Below are 20672 nucleotides of genomic sequence, written 5' to 3' on the forward strand. Positions count from 1 at the left end.
GATTCTGGGCAAGCCAGTGTCAATGTAGAAAGTGACCCAAGTAATTCTGAAACACAGACAGAGATACAGTTATCTTTGAAAACATTATTCTCACTTCAGTCTTTTAGTTAGATTTAAAAAAAAAAAAAAAAAGAACACAATGACTCAGAGCAGGATTTGGGTATATACACATATATCTGTACTCAACCACCTTTATGTCATCTTGTCACCACTAATCCATGTTTTATATTCTGTTCCTGTAAAAATCAGCTCAAAATGGGGTAAATAGTAACTGTAACACTGAGTTTTAGAAAATAGACAAAATCTGGATATGTGATAAGCAATTATCTCCCTTAGCATACACGATGTAAATGGAGGCAAAATATTTGCCTTTTGAACACTTCCAATGCAAGTTGTTACAGCCATTGAATCATCTGTGAAGCTAATACTAATTCTCAAAATCATTCTCTGAATTGTTCTTTCTTTGGTTAGAGTCATCCTTTTGACTGACAAACCCCATAAAAGCTTTCCAAGTAATGCAAAGAGGTTGCTAAGTGGAAAATATTTCAAGAGCTCTGAAAATATAAGCTTGACAGAATTCTAGCCTTGAAATCCTCAGTTTACAAGAAAATTTATTGTACACACATGTTGTAGCAGTGGAATGCAGCGTGTGGCATTAAATCTAAAAAAGAGACAGCCAAACACATACAGTTCTATGCTGGAAGTAAAAAACTGTCACCCAGAGAAGGAAAAAAATTAAGTACCAAGGAAGAAAAAGACTCTTAAAAAGCACCATGGGAATGTTATAAACTATTATTTTCCAAGCTCTGAGTTTGAGCTAGTAAGAGACCATCGGCTTTTTCAAATGGCTTCAACAGATGGAAAATAAAAATTACCAATGGATACACTGGAACCTTGTTTTACAGCTCTATACAGTCGAGACACATTACAAAGCAAAAAGTAAAACTGAATACCCTACATAAATACAGATTTTAACGGTTTTAGAGGTGACAGGTATGTAGTTGGCTAGACAGGGAAGACATTATAATTTTGTGTGACACAGTATGTCAGTTTGTGCAACTAGGAAGCCATCATTTCCAGAGGAAATCACAGCAGTTGTGACAGTCAACTGTAGTACCTCATTCTGCTCTGCACACAGCGGCTCACCTGGCTTTCCCTGGCAGTGAGTATAAGGTTCATTCCAAGTGTTATAAAAGTGTGCAAGGGCCATCATTAGGAAACACTGGAAAAACACAGTCTATTAGATAAAATTTAGTAATATTGCAAGTGGGGATATCTTCATTAATACTGTTTCTTTGTGGCTCAGGGATTTAACAGCTCTCAACCCTTTGTCTTGGCCCTGAAACTATAATTTTCAATAGTGGCATCATTATAACCTCAAAATACTTGTTACAATGTCAGGTGTGAGAGACATAATAAAAACAAATAATTAGAGGCTATTCTCAGCAACATGAACTCAGTCAGAATTTTACTTTAGTGCCCAGAAACACTGTGAAAGAGAAGAAGAACCAGCAGAAAATGCTCAACACTTAAAGCAGCAAATCGCAATCACTTGACTTTGTTCACACTCTTTTTTAAGTTAGAAACATATACGGGGGCTAAGTCATATATTTGATCTGTTACATAACAAATAGCAACAGAACAAGAATGGTATTAGTAAATATAGTCAAGGGAATAGAAAATGTCTTTAATTCCTTAGCATCATCCTGGTTATTAATTATGTGTTTGTTGGTGTTGTGAATAGGGCTTTCTATTACTGAGTAAACACTAGTACTTGAGTCTTTTCTTCAAAGCATATATATATATATCCCAACAACGGAGCTCATTCGAGAATGCGTGCAGCAAAATAATATTGCAGCTTCATTTAGGAAACATGATAGGAAAGGTAATCACCTAACTCAGAACTTATAAAAAGCCTGATGTTTTCTCTTATTTGTCCTTTATCATATATATATCATATATATCATATATATATCACATATATCATATATATATCATATATATCATATATATCTATATATCATATATATCATATATATCACATATATATATATGAAACATCAACAAACACATAATTAATACAACTAAGTCCAAATTGTGCCAACTAGATTGTTATGCTGACCCTGCAGGACAATTTATTATATTTCAAAACAACTATTAGTAGCATACGCAAACAAAATGTGTGATGGCTTCAATTTTAATTTGGAGTGTGCAGCTGGGTGTGTTGTTTACCTACCATCTGTTAACCCTTCCTCCTTCTTACCAAAACCTGAATTTTTTTAGGTACTCACACCTCCCACAAATAGCTCAAATGACTTATAGGACACAGTATTTCTAACTGCCAGTATTTGTTCCTGAAATGCTCATTCATCCATTATGACATTCAATGGGAGATATTGCAAAAGCAGAGAGTTGAATATTTTTCCACACTATTTTCTAGTCATCTGGGTAATGTTCAAATTTAAGCAGCAAATGAGCCTTTTTAATCAAATTCTAATAGTGCAATTTGTTCTGATGTCCACCCAGACATTCCAAGTGAGTCAAGGCCAGGTCCTGTTATCGGACCTTGTTATAAACAAGATATTTTTATAGTTCAGCCCACGCTTCTTAGCCTCATCTAATATTAATCTTCCCAAACCCTTGGAATATTGGCAATGTTTACATTGATGACTATGAGCTTAGGAACAACACTGCCCCAGTATTACCATCTACTGAATGGGGCTGCTATCGTAAGATTGACATTTGATGACATTCATTCGATGATGATAACACCATAAGATAGATATTAATTTTGTTGTTTTAAACAAATGTCCAAATACCCTGGAAAGTGGTCAGCTTTTAAGATGATGTCACATGCTGCTTCTAATGAGACTTCCACTATTCAAACATTTTTGGAACAACTCTGTAGAAGCTCTGTAGAAGGTCAACTGGAAGCTGCAGAAAAAGAGCTTGCTTTATTATACACTATGTACAAAATGATAGTGACTAAAGCCAAGGTTATCCACACAAATACTTAAGATATTTCACTTGTGACCAGTCCTAAACCACGCCTTCTGGATACAAATTAGAATCGCGTCATGTTTCAACATGTTGACAGTGGTAGAATTTTGACATGAAAATATTTGTTTTACATGAGGATTTTCAAACATTTTATCATTAAATAACTTTTTGAGGCAAGTCTCTTATATGGCTATGTTTACTGGTTTGGCAACACTAACCTGGACACCTTTGCTAACATCCTGGTTATTTTACTTGCTAACTTTTAGTCACTCATACTAGAATATAAGCTCCATAAAGCTATGGATTTTTTTTTTTATGTATCCCCAGTTCAGAAAACTGTGCCTAGTATATAGTAGGCACCCAAGAGCTATTTGTTAAATGAACGAGTGAGCGAATGAACCTAGAACACAGAGCTAGGACATATACTCTACAAAGGAATACCTAGGATACACCCTGCCAAGTAGCCAGTAGGCATAGCACTGAGAACAAAGACAAAGAGCAGATGATCACAGCACATCTCTGGCTCAGTAACTTGACAAGGATTTCTGCATCTTCAAACTTAACCACAAGAAGCATCTTTATGTGCTGTGACATTAGTATGAATATTAAAAGTTAATTCATTCTGAGAAATTGATAATCACTTGTCTTCTTTGATTTTTGGGTAAGAGTTTCTAGATGTCCTAAAGGAGGATTCATGAATGATTACTGAGCATGACATCATGGTCATCAAATTATTTCATTCATGACACCCAGGGAGACCCTGAAACTAAATTATGTCAAGTGCATCACTCAAAAATAAAAGTCAAAGTGGCTCCTTCACGTCCTCCTTAGTGGCCAATTCATAAGGGCACATCACATAGCACCAATCACATTTACTTCATGAAGTTGCCCTTTCTCACAGTAAGGTGCTGACCCTTAAAGTCTCCAGCTAATGTCATCCTAGAGGATACTGTTTCTATATCACTACATTGAAACAAAACAAAACAAAAATGTATTCAGCAAATTTATACTTTATTATAGGGCTAGATCCTTTGGCATAAGTTATTTTATTTTAGTCTTCACTACTTTATGAGATAGAGATTAATAGCACTGATTTATGAATTATGAAGTTTAGTGGCTGTGACTTGCTGAAGGTTAGACAGTTGGACCCTCAGCTTGGCTGTATTGATCCCATATCTTTAAGTCCACAGTTTTTTATACTTTCCCCAGCACCCTTCTTACTGAACTTCTCAAAGTTGTTCTGTTCTCAATAATACACTTTCACATTCTGTATCATTGTAGTGATTGTTCAATGAACATTCTGGAATAAGTTTTCCCAAGAGTCAAAATTAAGTTAAAGACCTAATTCACAAATGACAACATCCATAGTATGAAAAATAAAATAGCCTGGCCACAAGTGTGAAAGACCATTTCTTCTGAAAAACGACAGTCAGCACACACAGACAAATGATTTGTCCTCCCTGATTTGTATGCAGCTAGTAGCTTGTCTGAACCCTTCAGGTTATGACCATGACACTGGGATACTTTTGATTTGCTTCTTAATTGAAAATCACATGGTAATGATGGCCAAGTTCCGTATAGCACAATCTCATCATCTCGCAGGGGCAATCAATGACTTCAAAGCTGTCTGGCACTAATAGAAGCGCACTCAAATAGCTTTCAGGAGAACACAATCACTGTCTTTCTCTTTTCTAATTTTTTAGCACATTAGTTTAGAACAATGTCGGGGAAAGCATATGACTGGAAGAGATGGAGTTTTTTTTTTAATTTTAGCTCTATCATGTTCTAACGGGGTTACCTTGGGCAAGTCACTTAATCTCTCTGGGTCTATATTATCTCATGTGTAAGAACTGGAGATAATGATTCTTGACCTACCAACCTCACAGGGCGGTTAGGACAATCGATTGACAGAAGGTGGCATGCAAGTGTTGTGCAAATGTAAAAGGTCGGGCAAGGAAACCTGGAGATTTTCAATCAAGAACCTGACTTTTACTGTCCCATTCTATTTTTTATTCTACCTTAATATTCTAGTGAGGAAAATCACCCATGTCAAATTCCACAGATAACATTGTAACTTATTGATTTCATCCCCTTTCTCTATACATATATTTTTTAAAAGATGTATATTGTTAATATAAAATTGGATTCCTTGTTTAGATATGTGATTTTTCGCCACCGGCTCCAGCACCCCTGGGCCGTGCAACCCGGTCCCTACAGGTGAGGATCCAGCTCCACCCCTGCTCGCCTGCCAGGCGGTGGAGACCTCGAAATGAAGACAGCATGAGTTCTGCAATACTGGGCCTGCCGCCTACCCTCCCTGAGCCTCAGTTTGCTGGCCCGTGAAGTGGGCATAGTCACGAAGCGTCTCATCTCCGTCGGGCTCAGTGTCAGGTGCCGTTGCCCCTTTCAGACCGCTGTTTAACAACTTTGGACAGCCTTCCATGGGCTATGTGCAGGCGATGAAGCCACCGGCGCCCAGGGCTCCCAGAGCACCTACAACGACCTGCTGTCGGTCATAGAGGAGAAGGGCAAAGAGATCCGGCCTGCCTATGCTGGCAGCAAGAGCACCATGGAGCGCCTGAAGAGAGGTATCATCCATGCCCGGGCCCTAGTCAGAGAGTGCCTGGCAGAGACAGAGTGCAATGCCCGCACGAAACAGGAAGCCCCTCGGCCTCAGGGGCTGGACCTTTCCTGGCCACTGCAGAGCACCCGCTTCTCCCTGGCCTTCATCCCGAGCTGCGCTAGCCATCCTGGGCTTCCAGTCCTGTGTCCCTTGGTGGGTTCCCTCCAGGAACCAAGGGGCGGCTCTCACTCCAGGTGGCAGCAGGTAGCAGGTAGGTCCGGCTACCCTAAAAACAAGAGTTAGCAGGTAGGTCCCGGTGAGTCCCACCCATGACCTGCCAACATTGTTGCCCACTGGATCTTTCTGTGGTCTCACCACGCAGCTCTTCCCAGCACTTCTCCCACTTTGTCCCGAGCCTCCTTCTCTCCCAGCAGGGGCTCAGGCCTGGCACCTCTCTGCCCTATGTCCTGAGCCACAGTGACTGTTTTCTCAGTGTGTCTTTTGCTAAATATGCCCTTTTCATATTAATAAAAGATTATTTGGAGTTGTGCTCTCAAAAAAAATGTGATTTTTCACTTATCAAGAACATTTTGCAGATTATTAGTCTGTGAAACCAAATATTCCATTGAATAAATATAACATTTAATTTCTGAACATTGAGGTTTCAACTTTTAACCATTATCAATAATTATATGACTATCCTTGTATGTAAATTTTTGCCTGTATGAGTATTGCTTTATGATTAATTCTAAGTGGGATTTGTGTGTTAAAAATTTTAATATTTGTAAGTCTTTTGTTACAGATTTAAAAATTGCTTTCGTAAAATTGTATAAACATAAACTCCCAAAGGCTGTGAATGAAGCTCTCCATCTTACGTCACCCCCACCAAAGTGAAACATCTTATCACACACAGCATAATGCAAAACAACACATGGCATCTGTAGAGATGGGGAATACAACAATGGTTTGTAGTCAAATCTCAGGTTAGTAGTAAACACTTTCATGTGGCTATCGGATGTGTTCCAGTAGGCTGTGGTGATAATACTTAAGGGACTGAGAATTTGCATCTTGTCTCTGATCATTTACTTATGATAGACTCCTAAATATAAATTCACTGGAATAAAAAATGTATGAACAAGTTTTTTGAAACCCTCTTTATATACATACATAAACATTCTCACATTGCTTTCCACAAGTTCATGTTGGTTTAGGTTTCCACAAATGATATTTTTCATTCATCCAGTCAATCAACAAATGCATAATGATCACTTCCTTTGTGTCATGCATTGTTCTAGGCACCAGGGATAAAACAATGAACAAAACAGACAGAAATTACAGCCCTCGTGGAGCTCATGCTCTGGTTGGGAGGAGAAAGAAAATAACTAGGACTGATATGTAAAACCTGTAGCATATTAAATGCACATAACAGCTAAGAAGAAGAGGCAAAGAAGTGGGAAGAGAAGTAATAAGGCAGTGACTTAGAATTCTAGATCAAGTGGCTGAGAAAGGCCTCAAAGAGATGACATTTGAGTAAAAATTTCACTGTGTCATGTGTTACTGATAGGTTAACATAAGAGTCAAGTATGGGTCAATGACTTATCAATATATTAATAGTAGTCCTTATTGACCTTGATAAGATCCATTTGAGTGGGCTGGTAGTAGTCAGAGCACAGACCTAAGGAATAAGAGTGAAAGAGCTCACTAGATATGTACCTATGTAAGTTCTTAAGATAGTGGGGAAAAAGACATCTAATCAAGATGAGGAGACTAGAGAGTAGTCTATCAATCAAAAGCCCTAACTTGCAACAAACTTTGTTCTTTTGGCTGAATGTCTTTTATAAGTCATTTACTCAAATGTAATATTGTCAGTCTTATACTTTAAAATATTTATATATTATAATTACACTGGCCATGGTGGTGCTGAAGAGTTACTTATTTTTGAAAGTATCTTTATTCAAAATCTGTGCTCAGGGTAGCTATACAAGTGATTCAAACTTATCCAAATAGATCCCCAGAACATCTATTAATTAGCATAAAATAATGATTTTCATTGATGAAATGAATGTGTTCAAGATATGTAATTAGCTAGAAAAAAAAATTGCAATACCCCCTTGACTCAATAAATGTATTAGAATCCTGGTTAGCCTATTATTATATTTGAAATAGCACTTTCGGTTAGGAGCTCCATTTCTGTCTGTCCATCCTTAGCTAGTAGAAGGCTCTAATTCTAAATCTAGAGTAGAAAGTTGATTGTGTTTGTCTTCAGAATATTGTTAGATAATCCTGGAAGTGGAACTCTGACCAGAATATTGTTAGATATACCTGAGAGTGAAACTCATGTAATGTGCTTGCCTGAAAAGGAAGAGAGGGCCTCCTATATTTCTTCCCTAAGCTTTTATTTCAACATCATGCCTGGAGGTCTAGGGACAGTTGTTAGCTGGCAAAAGCAAAGTCAGAGTGTTTCCCGAAGCTCCAAAGCATGCAGGGCAGCTGTACCATCTTCCAAGCAGCTCATAGGCCATCACTGATGGAAGAATAACCTGGATGCCAAAAAGGCTTCCATGGTATGAGAAGAACCTGAATCAAACCTTGCTGTGCCTGAATAAGCTCTTCTGTGTGAATTCCTCGGAAGTCACTTCCTGGACATATGAAGATATGGCGGTCTTCAAGACACTGGGTGATTCTCTGACCAGCCTGCACAGGCTGGAAGCCGCAAGACTTCCCCCAGGGGAGTACCTCAGGAGAGAGTCCTCCTCAAGAATAGCAAGGAGACTCTAATATGGGTCTTCTCAGTGCACTTGCTTCAGCCCCCTAGTCTAGAGGCTTCTGCCTGATGTTCTTCCAGCCCCAGGGAAGCTTCTCAGTCATTCTCCAAGCCTTTTCCAACCATGAACCAAATGGAAAGAGTACAGCTTCTCTGCATTTTTCCAAAGAGCTCAGGTTCAATATTTTTCTTTAATGTTTAAGGATATTTTCAAAGCATTTATGTTCATTTATTTTTTTTTTGCTTTATATTTACTTATTTTTTAAAAAGCAGCTGCATATTCAGACATTGACACATTTTCTTATGAGAAGATATTAAAGCATGCAGTTATTAAGACTCTGAATTTAAAATGATCTGTAAGTTCATTGAGCATGCTTTAATGTCTGCTCATAAAGTGCATCAGATATAATAAATATATTTTAAATTATAAAGGCAATGTAGAAATGCTATATCAACACATACTATTCAAATGTTAATCATTTTAAAAAGAATTAACAAAAATTCATGTGAACTCAATGAACTCAACTTATTACTAAATTACCTAACAGAAAATTTTGAAAGAACACTTAAAGGTCACTTTGATAACATAATTCTAGTATCACCTCTGCCTCACCAGATTGCACCATTTTTACCGATACATCTCAGATTGTTCATTCACACAGCATCTTAAGAGAAAGCATTAAAGCAATTAGACTGAGACAACAACACAGTAAGTACCTGCAAAGTACTGAGGGAAGAGAGGCCTAAAACATTTTAATCCCATGTTGCTCCCAAAAGCCTGTAAGATTTCTCAGGAAAGAGCTCTTCAAGTAAATGAGTTAACAACTAACATATCTTCCCCAAGAAACTGAACAGAGCCCGTGCAGAACAGTTCAACACACATCACTGAGCAGACTACACAGGAACACACTCTACAGTGGAATAAAACTCAGTCAATAAATATCAAAGCTTTGCAAATCATTTTATTTCATTACTCCTTCAACACGCATGTATTGAGAACCCATATTACAAGGCCTTTCAGGGGTACAAAAAGTTAAGAGACCTGGCCCAGGCTTTCAAAAGTCTAATCCATGACCTGAGAAGATATTAAAAATACTCTTAGAGAAGGACACAAAGCAAAAAATATTGACTATGCTGCCGCATAAATGTGTGACACAGACATGGAGTTCAATGAAGGAATATGGAAGAGAGATATTCCCATTGGTTGACGGATAAGGGAAGGCGTCATAGAGAACTTGAGGAACATCATGAAGACAGGCAAATTCCAAAATGGTGATGCAAAAGTTGACAGGTATGCCGTGACACATATGGTCTTTTTGTGAATATATTCTGCTTAGACAAATGTTAATATATTTTAGGAGCAGGTGCCTTGTCTCCTATTTTTTAAGTCTTATACTTCTTTTGATTTATTAACCTAATATTTCTAGTATTAGTGCCTCTGGGTTATGAGAAAGGTCACTTTATATACTCTGCTGAAAAATATGTGTTATTAAAAACTAGCACATCCTGTCTATCTACCAAATGAATTAAAGAATCAAAATATGCATCTTTTTCTACCCTAACCATATATGGGTTTTTAAAATAAGCATTCTTTACATGTTATCACTCAACTTCTTTACTCTAAAGGATGCAGCCAACTTTAACTGGTAGTATGTAAATTTAATTTGTAATTACTTTGGGGAATAATTATAACACCACTTGGCGAATTTTCTTCTAAGATGACATTACTCTGAGTATTCAGCCTTATGGGGCTTTTAATATAGGGTAGTCATCTCAAGTTGCTATGACAGCTGCAGAACTTTTATTTAAACAGATTAGACCTTAATGTAAATAGGTTGAAATATCATAAATTTCTGGACTCGGCATTGATTGAATAAATATAAAGCAACATAAAGATCAATTATAAAATCATGGCATGTTGACTTTATTACTATTGAAGTTTAGGGGGCATATTAAATAAACTTGTTTTTCTTTGACCCAGATAACAGCTATTGCATAATAAACACAGAAATTCAGTAGCTGTAAACTAAAATATTTTTATTTAAAAAATTATTTTAAAAAATTTCAAGCAAACACAAAATTAAAAGGAATAATAGAATTAATCCTCAACATCCAGCTTCAATGTTCTTCAGTTTTTGGCCCTATTTGTTTGATTTATACCCCCATCTACTTTGCCACTTCCTATTGTATTATTTTGAAACAAATGTTTAATATTACTTCATCCATAAATATTTTAGTATTTATCAATAAAAGATAAAAAATATCTTAACCACATTATTATCATACCTAAGGAAAAATTTAACAATAATTCTTTAATGTATCTCACAGGTAACCCTCTAAGATGGTCCCCAGTGATCCTCACCTCCTGGTATCGAAGACTTTTTGTTGTTGTTCTTCCCCTTGAGTGTTACCTGAACCTCTAAATGAATAAGATATGGCTAATGCAATGGGATATCACTCTGAGATTAGGTTACAAAGACTGAAAATTTCATCTTGAGAATTTTTTCTCTCTCACCTTCTCTTGTTCTCTCAATTTCTCATTTTCCACATCTTTCCATGGGCCATAGTTGATCATTCTCATTCATATTTTCTCTCTCTCTCTCTCTGTCTCTCTCTCTCTCACACACACACACACACATTTTTTCTATCTCTTTCTGAGCCCTAACTCTGGGAGAAGCAACCCGTCTTATTGTGAGAAGCCCTATGGAGAGGCCTGTGTAGCAGGCTAATGACTCTGTCCCTGAGCCAGATTATAGCTGAAGCCTGACAAGCCACATAAGCGAGCTTGGAAGCAGATCCTCAGCCAGGATATCTCAGTCAAGTCTTCAGATATCTGCAGTCCTAGAGGATACCTTGATTGCAGTCTTACGAGAGACCTTGAGATGGAGGCACCTAGATAAGCCATGCCTAGATGCCTGGCCCACAGACACTGTGAGATAGTGTGTTTGTTATTTTAAGCTATGTTTTGGAGTAATTTGTTATATGACCATATATGCATAATACAGTATCATTAAATATTCAGTCAATGCTCAAATTCTGTGATCGTCTTGTACATGATTTTTTACAGTTGGGTTGCTTGAATCAGAATCCAAACAAGTTTCTTATGTTGCATTTGGTTATATGTCATCGAAACATTTATCCTTAGATTCCTCCTACCCCATTTTTCTTTGTCATTCTTCACTTTTGTTGTTGATAAAGCTGATATTGGAGACCATGACATGGTGTGGAGACAGTGGATTTGCCAGCAATTTCGGCTACTCTGATTCAGACCTGAAAATTTTCTAGGAGGAAAGTTTAGATTTCCTGAACAAGTATACTTCTTCAGAATTGTATCTCAAATTTTTCTGGCACAGACATATCAGATAAAATCATGGGGAATGGGGAATAAATGAACAGCCATAGAAAGAACTATTTTTAAACTGAAATGAAACATGAGGGCTATACAACCCCATGTTTAAGTTCTTTATATCAAAATTACAATAGAGACCATTTTAAAATGATCTCTTGTTCTTAATAACCTTGAATAGATGAAGTGTCAACTAAAGAACATTGCTCATGCCGGGCATGGTGAGCACCTTGAGAGGTCGAGGCTGGAGGATCACTTGAGGTCAGGAGTTTGAGAACAGCTTGGCCAACATGGTGAAACCCTGTCTCTACTAAAAATATGAAAAAATTAGCCAGGCATGGTGGTGCACAGCTGTAGTCCCAGTTACTTGGGAGGCTGAGGCTGGAGAATCGCTTGAACCCGGCAGGTAGAGGTTGCAGTGAGATGAGATCACGCTACTTCACTCCAGCCTGGGCAATAAAGAGAGACTCCATCTCAAAAAAAAAAAAAAAGTTTCTCATCATAGCTTCAAATTATTATTTTCTAATAGATGTGAATTTTGATGGATTTAAAAATATTATATTACTTATAGCAATGTGAGAATTGATAATTGAAGTTTTCATAACAAGGGAGTAAAAAAATATTGTCAGAGAGAAATTCTTACTTTTTCAACATTAAGCAGACTGACAAGGTCCCTACTCTCAATGAGTTTACAATTCATTGGAAAAGTTAAGCAATCACATACATGCACACACATATGCAGAGCAAGAAAGAGATACATGAATTTAAAAATGTATGCAATGTTGTGAAAGCATAACATAAAAAGTCTGATATAATCCACTGGATTACGGACAAATTCCTTAAAGGCACAGCATTTGAACCAACATGATAAAAATGAGGATAATTTTACTAAGTGTAGACAATGGTGGCAGGCATAAAGAGGTGTGCCAAGCAGAAAGTACGCAAGCACAAAGCCCCCGAGGAAGTGGGGAGCATGACTCATGCCTGGAACTGAAGGAAAGTCAGTGTTGCTGAAACACCGAGCCTGGGGGAAAGTAACACAGAGAGAAGAGGCAGAGGCCAGATTATGCATAGCTCTCTGGACCATATTACAGATTTTGGCTTTTATCCTAAGATTAATGAGAAGATACGGAAAAGTTTCTTTCAAGCAAGGGAAAAGGATAATAGAAGGTGAACTTCAAAGAGAATGGAGAATGGTTTGGAGAAAGGCAAACATGGATGTACTTGGCTCAGTATCTCTGTCTTTGATACTATCCCTCCAAATTTATCACCTACATAGGTAACACTTCTAATAGCTTGGTCACACAGTTCCTTCATCTCTTCTCAGTGCTCTTCTCATTCACCCTACTTGAAACACTACTGGTCTGAAAGTGGGCCTTGTCATTACCAACCATGGCACTCCCACCATAATCTCAGTCTCAAGAACCTCATTCTCACTCTCTGGCCATCAATTCCTACCTTTTCAGCTCATTTCCTCTAGTAACTCTATTAGTTTCCTGTTGCTGCCATAACAAATTACCACAAACTTGGGGGCTTAAAACAACACAAGTTATCTTACAGTTCTGAAGACCAGAAATGTGCAAGACTCACTGGCCAAAATCAGTTTAATCAGAGCCTTCTCCATACCTAACATAGCAGCAGAATTTGGGGTAGTTGCTCACTTCCTTATGTTGAAACACTTTCTTCACTTGGTTTCTAGACACAAGTTTATCTTAAGAGTCCCCTCCTACCTGTGGTCATCCTTTCTCAACCCCCATTATGAGGTCCTCTTCATCTCTTTACACTACAACATTGGTGTATTCTAGGGTCTGGTTCATAGGTATCTTCTCTATTTATTCTCACTCCTCAAACAATCTACTTTTGCTCAGGATTTTAATTATCTTATAAGATATGCTTTCAAATGTCACTATACTTCCACTAGAATGTATGTCATTTTAGATGTGGTACAGTGTAGTGGAAAAAAATCTCAAGCTCTGGAAGAGAGTGTCTTGTACTCTACTCTGCCAGTTACTAGCAAAGTGGTCCTGAGCAAATTAGTATTCTTGCCTCAGTGTTCTCATCCATAAAATGGGGCTAACAATAGTGAATTTACAAAGATACTTTGAGGACTAAATGAGTGAATAAATATGCAAAGTGCCTAAAACAGTGCCCAGCATATTGTAACACTCAGTAAATGATGTGCATTATTATTATGAGGCATCCACTTGACTTTTTAAAATCTGAAATCTTGATTTCCTTCCAAAAACAATATGCTTCTACAGTCTTCTCTATTTCACTAAATATCAATTCTATCCTTAAACATGTTTGGGAGAAAACTGGAAGTTATTCTTTCTTTTATACCTACGGCCAACCCCATCAACAAATTTTTAGTTCTGCTTTCAAAATACATCGGGACTTTCATAGTTTCTCATCATTTCCATTAATAAAACCTGAATCTAAGTCTTAGTATAAGGTTGATATCTCTCATCCTAATTATTTCTTCAGGTTGACAACTGATTTCACTGATTCTACTCTTAACCCCTTAAAATCAGTTTTCAATACAGCAGCCAGAGTGACCATATTAAAATTATATTCCTTATCTGCCCAAAACCCTCCTGTAGTTTTACATTCACTTAGAATATAGGTCAAGGCCCTTACCATGGCCTCAAGGCTACAAGTGACCTGGCTCAATCTTTGAGGAGCCAATAAGATTTAAAAAAAAAATCCTACTATTCATACTATTGATTACTGTAATCATGCTGACCTCCTTGATGTTCCTCAGATTCTCCACCTAAGAGCCAAACTTCGAACTGACCGAAAAGTCTTACACTTGCAAAGCTCCATACTTCCTTTACCCTATGTTCTTCTCAGCATTTACTGCTATTTGGCATACTATGTATTTGTTTATTAGTTCTTGCTTCCACCAAATCAACTGTCAACTTCCTAAGAACAAATAGTTTGTTTTATCTACGGTTGTGTCTCCAAAGCCTAGAACTGTGTCTGGCATATGGTAGTGAATGAACAAATAAATATATAAGTGTATGTTTTATACAATCAGTTGTATTATAATGACATTCAAGGAGCTCAGGAAGACTCCAAAAACAATATGTTTCGATTAAAAATTATTGACTTGGTGCTGGAGATTGAGTTGGAATGTTAAGAGCACTAGATGCATGATCTGTAGCTCAGAAGAAAAACTGAGATGTGGATATAAGTTTGAGGTTCACTTGTGTAGAGATATAATTGAAACTACAAAAGATGGATGAGATCCCCAAGGGAGACAGTACACATTGAGAACAGAGAGGAGCATCACGTGGAAACTTGAAGGACTCCAACACAGACATGAAGCCAGGAAAGGAGAATTCCCCAGTGAAGGGAAGGGAAATAAAGGACAACAGATAAGAGGCAGCACAGGTGAGCAGGCAACTCTAACCTGTTTGAAGTTTACTGGGAAACAAGTATTGTTGTATTGAGGGATAGAGTCAATGCTGAAGAGGGCCAGGATCCACAGGTTTTGTGTGACTTATTAGGGATACTAAAGTATAGATCGGGGACCCTGAAGACTCCAGGATGAAAAATAGAGTCAAATGGGCTAAATGGATTAAGTGCCAAGTTTTAGAGAAACAGTATTTCTAATGACATTAAATAGTGAAGGCTGCTATTTTGGTTTTCAGTATTTTTTGTATTTGAATACCCAACAAAAATTTTCTTGGCAAAGAACTTCTATGTGTCTAGCCTCATTAAAATCCTTCAGAAATATTGGGAGAAATTACTCTTAAAGAAAAGGACATGTTTTGGTTGAATTACACAGCTTAAAGAGTTTACTCTCAAGACTTCTCAATATTTCCATAGGACTGAAACTTCTTTGTATTAAATCATCTAAAAGAAAGTTATTTCACAATAAATGAACCAAATGAATGGCTAAACATATTCTGTTTGGTTTTTTTCCTTCCAATTATCCTTGATGGCTCTGGAAACAAATGTTATGATTTCCTGGGCTTTCAGAAATAAAGTGGATTTTTAAGCACTTCATATCACACAAGAAATTTACATAGGAATCATCCAGAAAAATTAATTGGAAGAGAGGGTCACCTATCACCTATGAGGAATTAAAGAAGGCTTGAAAATGAAAAAGCAAGCGGGGGTATTGTTTACAATCAAAACAGCACCAGAATATAAAGTGGTATGTACAATTGGTATAGCCTTAAACCACTTATACCATTAATTCAATCCACAAATATTTTATTCAACAATGATTGCTCAATCAGTGTAGCATTATTTAAACATAAATGTCATGGCCTGTTAAGTTTAGTCTTTGTTCAAGGAGCACATAGAACGTTTTCCCACTGATACCTGAACAGCTCTCACTCACTTCTTTGAGAAGTAACCCTTTAAGATGGCCTTTCTCTGACAATCCCATAAAAATTTGCAATCATTCTGTCAATTTTCCACTTTAACTGTCATTTATTTGTTTGCTGTCTGCTCCCCACCCTACCCCAAATAAAGTGAGACATCTTTGAAAGCAGAAATTTTGTTTTATCACTGATGTACTCCCGATGCCTGCTGTGTAACAGAGACTCAAGAAGTATTTTGTTTGAATTAAGGAATAAATGAATGAAACATACTTATAAGAAAAAGAGGCTATGGGAAAATTAATCTTATACTACTATTTACAGCTATCTGATGTTTATACTGTTCCAGAGAAATTACATAATACAGAGGAAAAATGGAGAAAAGTCTTTGTGGATAACGATTTCAGAGTCTGGCTATTAAACCCAGCTCTGCCATTTTCTAACTATGCAGTGTGGGGTCCATTCTTAATCCTTTATGCATCAAATTTTTCACTTATAAGTACCAACCACCAATTCCACCACACTTAACTGCAGTAGGAGAGAACATGGCAGGATCTTTGCAGTATCTCAGATCTGAGAAGTCAGAAAACGACATTAGTATTGTTTTAGGACCTGCCTAGTTTTAGAACAGGTCTTTCAAGAATTAAGATGGGGAAGGATTTATAATGTAATACTTTTGGATTGGTTGCCCCAGTGAGGTGAAGTTCTTTTTTATTTTTTTAAGAGACAATGTCTCACTTTGTCACCCAGGCTGGAATCCAGTGGCACAATCATAGCCCACTGCAGCCTCAAACACCCGGGCTAAAAAAATCCTCCCATCTCTGACTTCCAAGTAAATAGGACTACAGGCACATACTACAGAGCTGGGCTAATTTTTAAAAATTTTTTGTGGAGCTAGCATAACACTTCCTTTCCCAAGCTGGTCTGCAATTCCTGAATTCAAGCAATTCTCTTGCTTTGTCCTCCCAAAGTGCTGGGATTGCTGGCATAAGCCACCATGCTCAGCCTGAGGTGAAGGTCTTGAAGAAAGTCTTGCTGAGTAAACTGTTAGTCTTGATTTTTTAAAAAAAAATACTGTTTTAGTTGGTTCACAGTATTATCCTCTTCAATTTGGTGTACCCTGGAGTAGGTAGCTAAGTTATTCTCAATATTGGGAAAGGAAAGTATGTTTGTGTTCAGTATCTTTTTAACATGGGACGATAAATTGCATTGGTTTCAGTTCTCTAATATGACAGTGTGATAATCTCTGCCCAGTCCCAGAGTAATAAGGATCAAAGAAGATTGACATTTATAGAAAGAGATACTGTTATTATTATAACGTTCAATACAATAAATATATTGAACTCTTACCATGTACAAGAAACAACGTTAGTCTCTAGAAATGATACTGAGAGAAATAAACACATTATCTTTAGGAGTTTACAACTTTGATAAGATAGTTAAAACCAAAAATACTAATAACTGAACAAAAGTCACAGTAAGGCAGGTATCATAAGAAAGTTACTCAAGAATTATGACAAAGTTTTCATCAAGGAGACCTGTGTTTGATAGTGATTCAACATGATATTTGTAAAAGAGGGAGCATTTGAGATAAGTTTTCAAGAAGAGATAGATGCTGTCAATTACACAGGGAAGCAGAGGCAACAAGTTTAAGCCAGGCAGAAGGAACACCCTGAACAGAAGCATGCATCATATTAAGGAATTGTTTGCACTAAAACGAATTGTATGGTCCAATGAGTTTGGAAAATCTGGTCAAAACTAAACAAATTTCTTTATTGCAGGCCATTGTGGGCTTTCATATGTGATGATCCATTGTTTTCGAAGAAGGATACACGCTGTATACACTTCCTGAACTTACATAATCATGGAACAATGCCCTCCCCTGTTTAGAGTATCTCATTGGACTTTTTGCTACCAAACACATTTCAGTTAAAATTGAAATGGCGACAGGTAAGAAAATTAGGTAGTGTGTGGCAGGAAATCATCAATAGAGTAAGCAGAAATTATGATTGTTCAATGCTTTACATGGATCAGTTTGTCAGCCTTATGTGCAACACACTGGAACAAGGAGAAAAAGGGAATCAGAAGGGGAGGCTGCATTTTTCCCTCAGTACCCCAAATAAAAACCATGTAGTGATGCAGCATGAGGTGGAAGCAAGGACAGCAATGGGATTCAAAATGTAATGAAGTAAACTCTGCAGAATATGACAAATGATAAGATATCAGAGGTGGAATATAAGACAAAGTAGATAATGAGATGTTGAGCGTGGTTCCTGGTAGACTCCTGATGCCAATGACAGCCAGGAAACGAAGGAAATATCTGGGGTTTTTAACACAGTGAATTTCTTATTCTACTTCTTTTTAAAAGAAAGCTTTGTGTATATAAATGTTAACACTTCTATAGCTGCATCCTTGTAAAGAAAATGCTTTAAGATATTTTATTTTTCTGAAGTAGAAAAGTTTCATGATTTTTAACTTTCCATGAGAAATCTAATGCTGTTAAAACATACTTTATTCAATCATTTATTAATTAATTAATTTGTTTACTTATTTTATTTTTTTAAGACAGGCTTACTCTGTCACCCAGGCTGGAGTACAGTGGTGCTATCTGGGCTCACTGCAACCTCCGCCTCTGGGGTTCAAGTCATTCTCGTGTCTCAGCCTCCAGAGTAGCTGAGATTACAGACATGCACCACGACCCCTGGTTAATTTTTGTGTTTTTAGTAGAGATGGGGTTTCTCCATACTGGCCAGGTTGGTCTTGAACTCCTGGCCTCATGTAATCTGTCTGCCTTGGGCTCCCAAAGTGCTGGGATTACAGGCATGAGCCCACCATGCCCAGCCCATGTTTTGTAAGTTAATAAAATATTTATTGTTTCTTTATTATGCAGAACGTATCTCATAGGTATACCTACTATGTGTTAGAAATACCTTTAAAGCATGTCAAAGCTAATGCTTATCCTAATTTATCCAAAGTAATTCTTTGTCTTTGCATTAAAAGTTTCAAATAAACAGACCCACACTTTGCTCAGGTAATTAGTACGTGTAAATAACTAAGTATTAGACTTATTAAGAAAGAGCAAGACTGTAAGCTGAGAAAAAATAGCTTCTCACGTGGGTGCTAGAGTCAATATTGTAAAGGAAGTTTTAAATTCTACCCAAATTACTTAGACATTCTCTCCTGAATTGTCTTGCCTTAAAAAAAAATCTGTTAATTCAGCCTAAAATGTCTTCATTTCATTTACATAACACAAGACTTGTCACAGTATGAAGCTACCTAAAATAGTTATTATGTCTTTGGGCAAAAATAGGCAGACAGCATTGGGGAGAAAAGCATGTGTGTGCTTAGATCCCCTACAGAGACAGAGATTATATGTCTGGTTTCCTAAATACCAGAAGCTAGATTGGATTAAAATTGTGCCATTGAAAGACTCCCAAATGTATCTGGGTGCTATCCAAGTTTCTTGCTTCCCAAAAATACCTGGTTCCCAGGGGAGAGAAAGGAGGAACATGGGGAAATATGATTTTGTTTTTATCACTCATTATTGTAAGAGACAACCTTGTCTGAGCAAATGGCACGAGGAAATGACATACTCTTTCCATGGACATGATTTGGGCAGTTTTCAATGACCTTGGAAAAGGTTTTTCTCTGTCAACATAATCATCGATAAAAATCTCATTCACTCAGGTTTGGAAGTTTGTTTAATTGATAAAGTGCTCTGAGGTACCAAATAAGAAGTGCTAAACAAGGGTGATATGTTTTCCATTATTAATTCCATATTGAAACCACAGGAAGATGAGCTACCTATAGGCCAATTTAAGGCACAGAGTATAGAAAAGGATTAAAGATACATGCCTTTGAAAAGCACTTGGGAACTGAGGGTAAGGGAACATGAAGATAAAAAGTCTAGGGGTGTCATGACCAGTTTCTAAAAGGTATAGGTAAAGTACAGGGGATTTTTCAAGCAGTAAAATTATTTCAAATGGAATATTAATGATGAATACAAGACATTATTTTACAGCACAAAGAATAAACCTTAATTAAGATTTTTTAAATAACTCATGAGATGAGGAGGATCTCAGGAAGGAATGCAGACTGTGACAAAAGAATCTAGCTGTATTACAAATGCAGAAAACAACCGCACTGAAGAGGATGGGGAAATGGTGCTGATCTAAGTATCTTTGGAAAGGAGTGGAGTCTGTAAGACTAAAGGCAAAAGGAACACATAAGCAATGTAGTCAGTTAATAATGTTATTTCCAACGGGGTTGTGGGTTAACAATTCTGATGCTACTATACATTTAAACTGGAATGATGTGCTCTGAATGGAGAAGCTATAAAATTTAAACAAACTGGAATGGAACAATTCGTAAAGTTTCTCACTGTTGGAGTATGAGTTTACAGCAAAACAAGTATAAGAGTGGTCATGGATTAGACTTGGAGATGTAAGTATTAACTCATGTTTGTCTTAATACAGATACAAATGAATACATATAGAAATATCCACAGGTACGTGTATATACATGGGTTGGTATAAACATATATATTTGCTCTACTGTCTGAGAGGAACTAAAAGAAATGACCAGTAGCAATAAACACACCAGGCTGGCCAGATCTTGGTTTCTAGTACCACCCTTCAATAAAGGAATCAAGATCTTTGCAAAAATGGC

General features: G+C 37.1%; 1 long non-coding RNA gene and 1 pseudogene across 1 annotated transcript in view, besides 1 other annotated feature; one reads left to right on the forward strand and one right to left on the reverse strand.

Moving 5' to 3' along the window:
* The window catches only part of MGC4859 (uncharacterized LOC79150), a 330125-nt gene that overhangs the window by 21408 nt on the left and 288045 nt on the right, over nt 1–20672 (reverse strand). The gene's annotated exons all lie outside the window — the stretch shown is intronic.
* On the forward strand, nt 5173–6119 carry LOC101154643 (cyclin dependent kinase 2 associated protein 2 pseudogene; annotated as a pseudogene).
* Nucleotides 5408–6049: an enhancer, noted in NCBI's record as "H3K4me1 hESC enhancer chr7:10516262-10516903 (GRCh37/hg19 assembly coordinates)". NCBI's record gives its function as "activates a minimal SCP1, AML or CMV promoter by ChIP-STARR-seq in naive H9 embryonic stem cells {active_cell/tissue: H9 hESC(naive)}" and the evidence as "EXISTENCE:reporter gene assay evidence [ECO:0000049][PMID:30033119]".

This window comes from Homo sapiens, chromosome 7 (assembly GCF_000001405.40).
Source record: "Homo sapiens chromosome 7, GRCh38.p14 Primary Assembly".
Classification (NCBI taxonomy): Eukaryota; Metazoa; Chordata; class Mammalia; order Primates; family Hominidae; genus Homo; species Homo sapiens.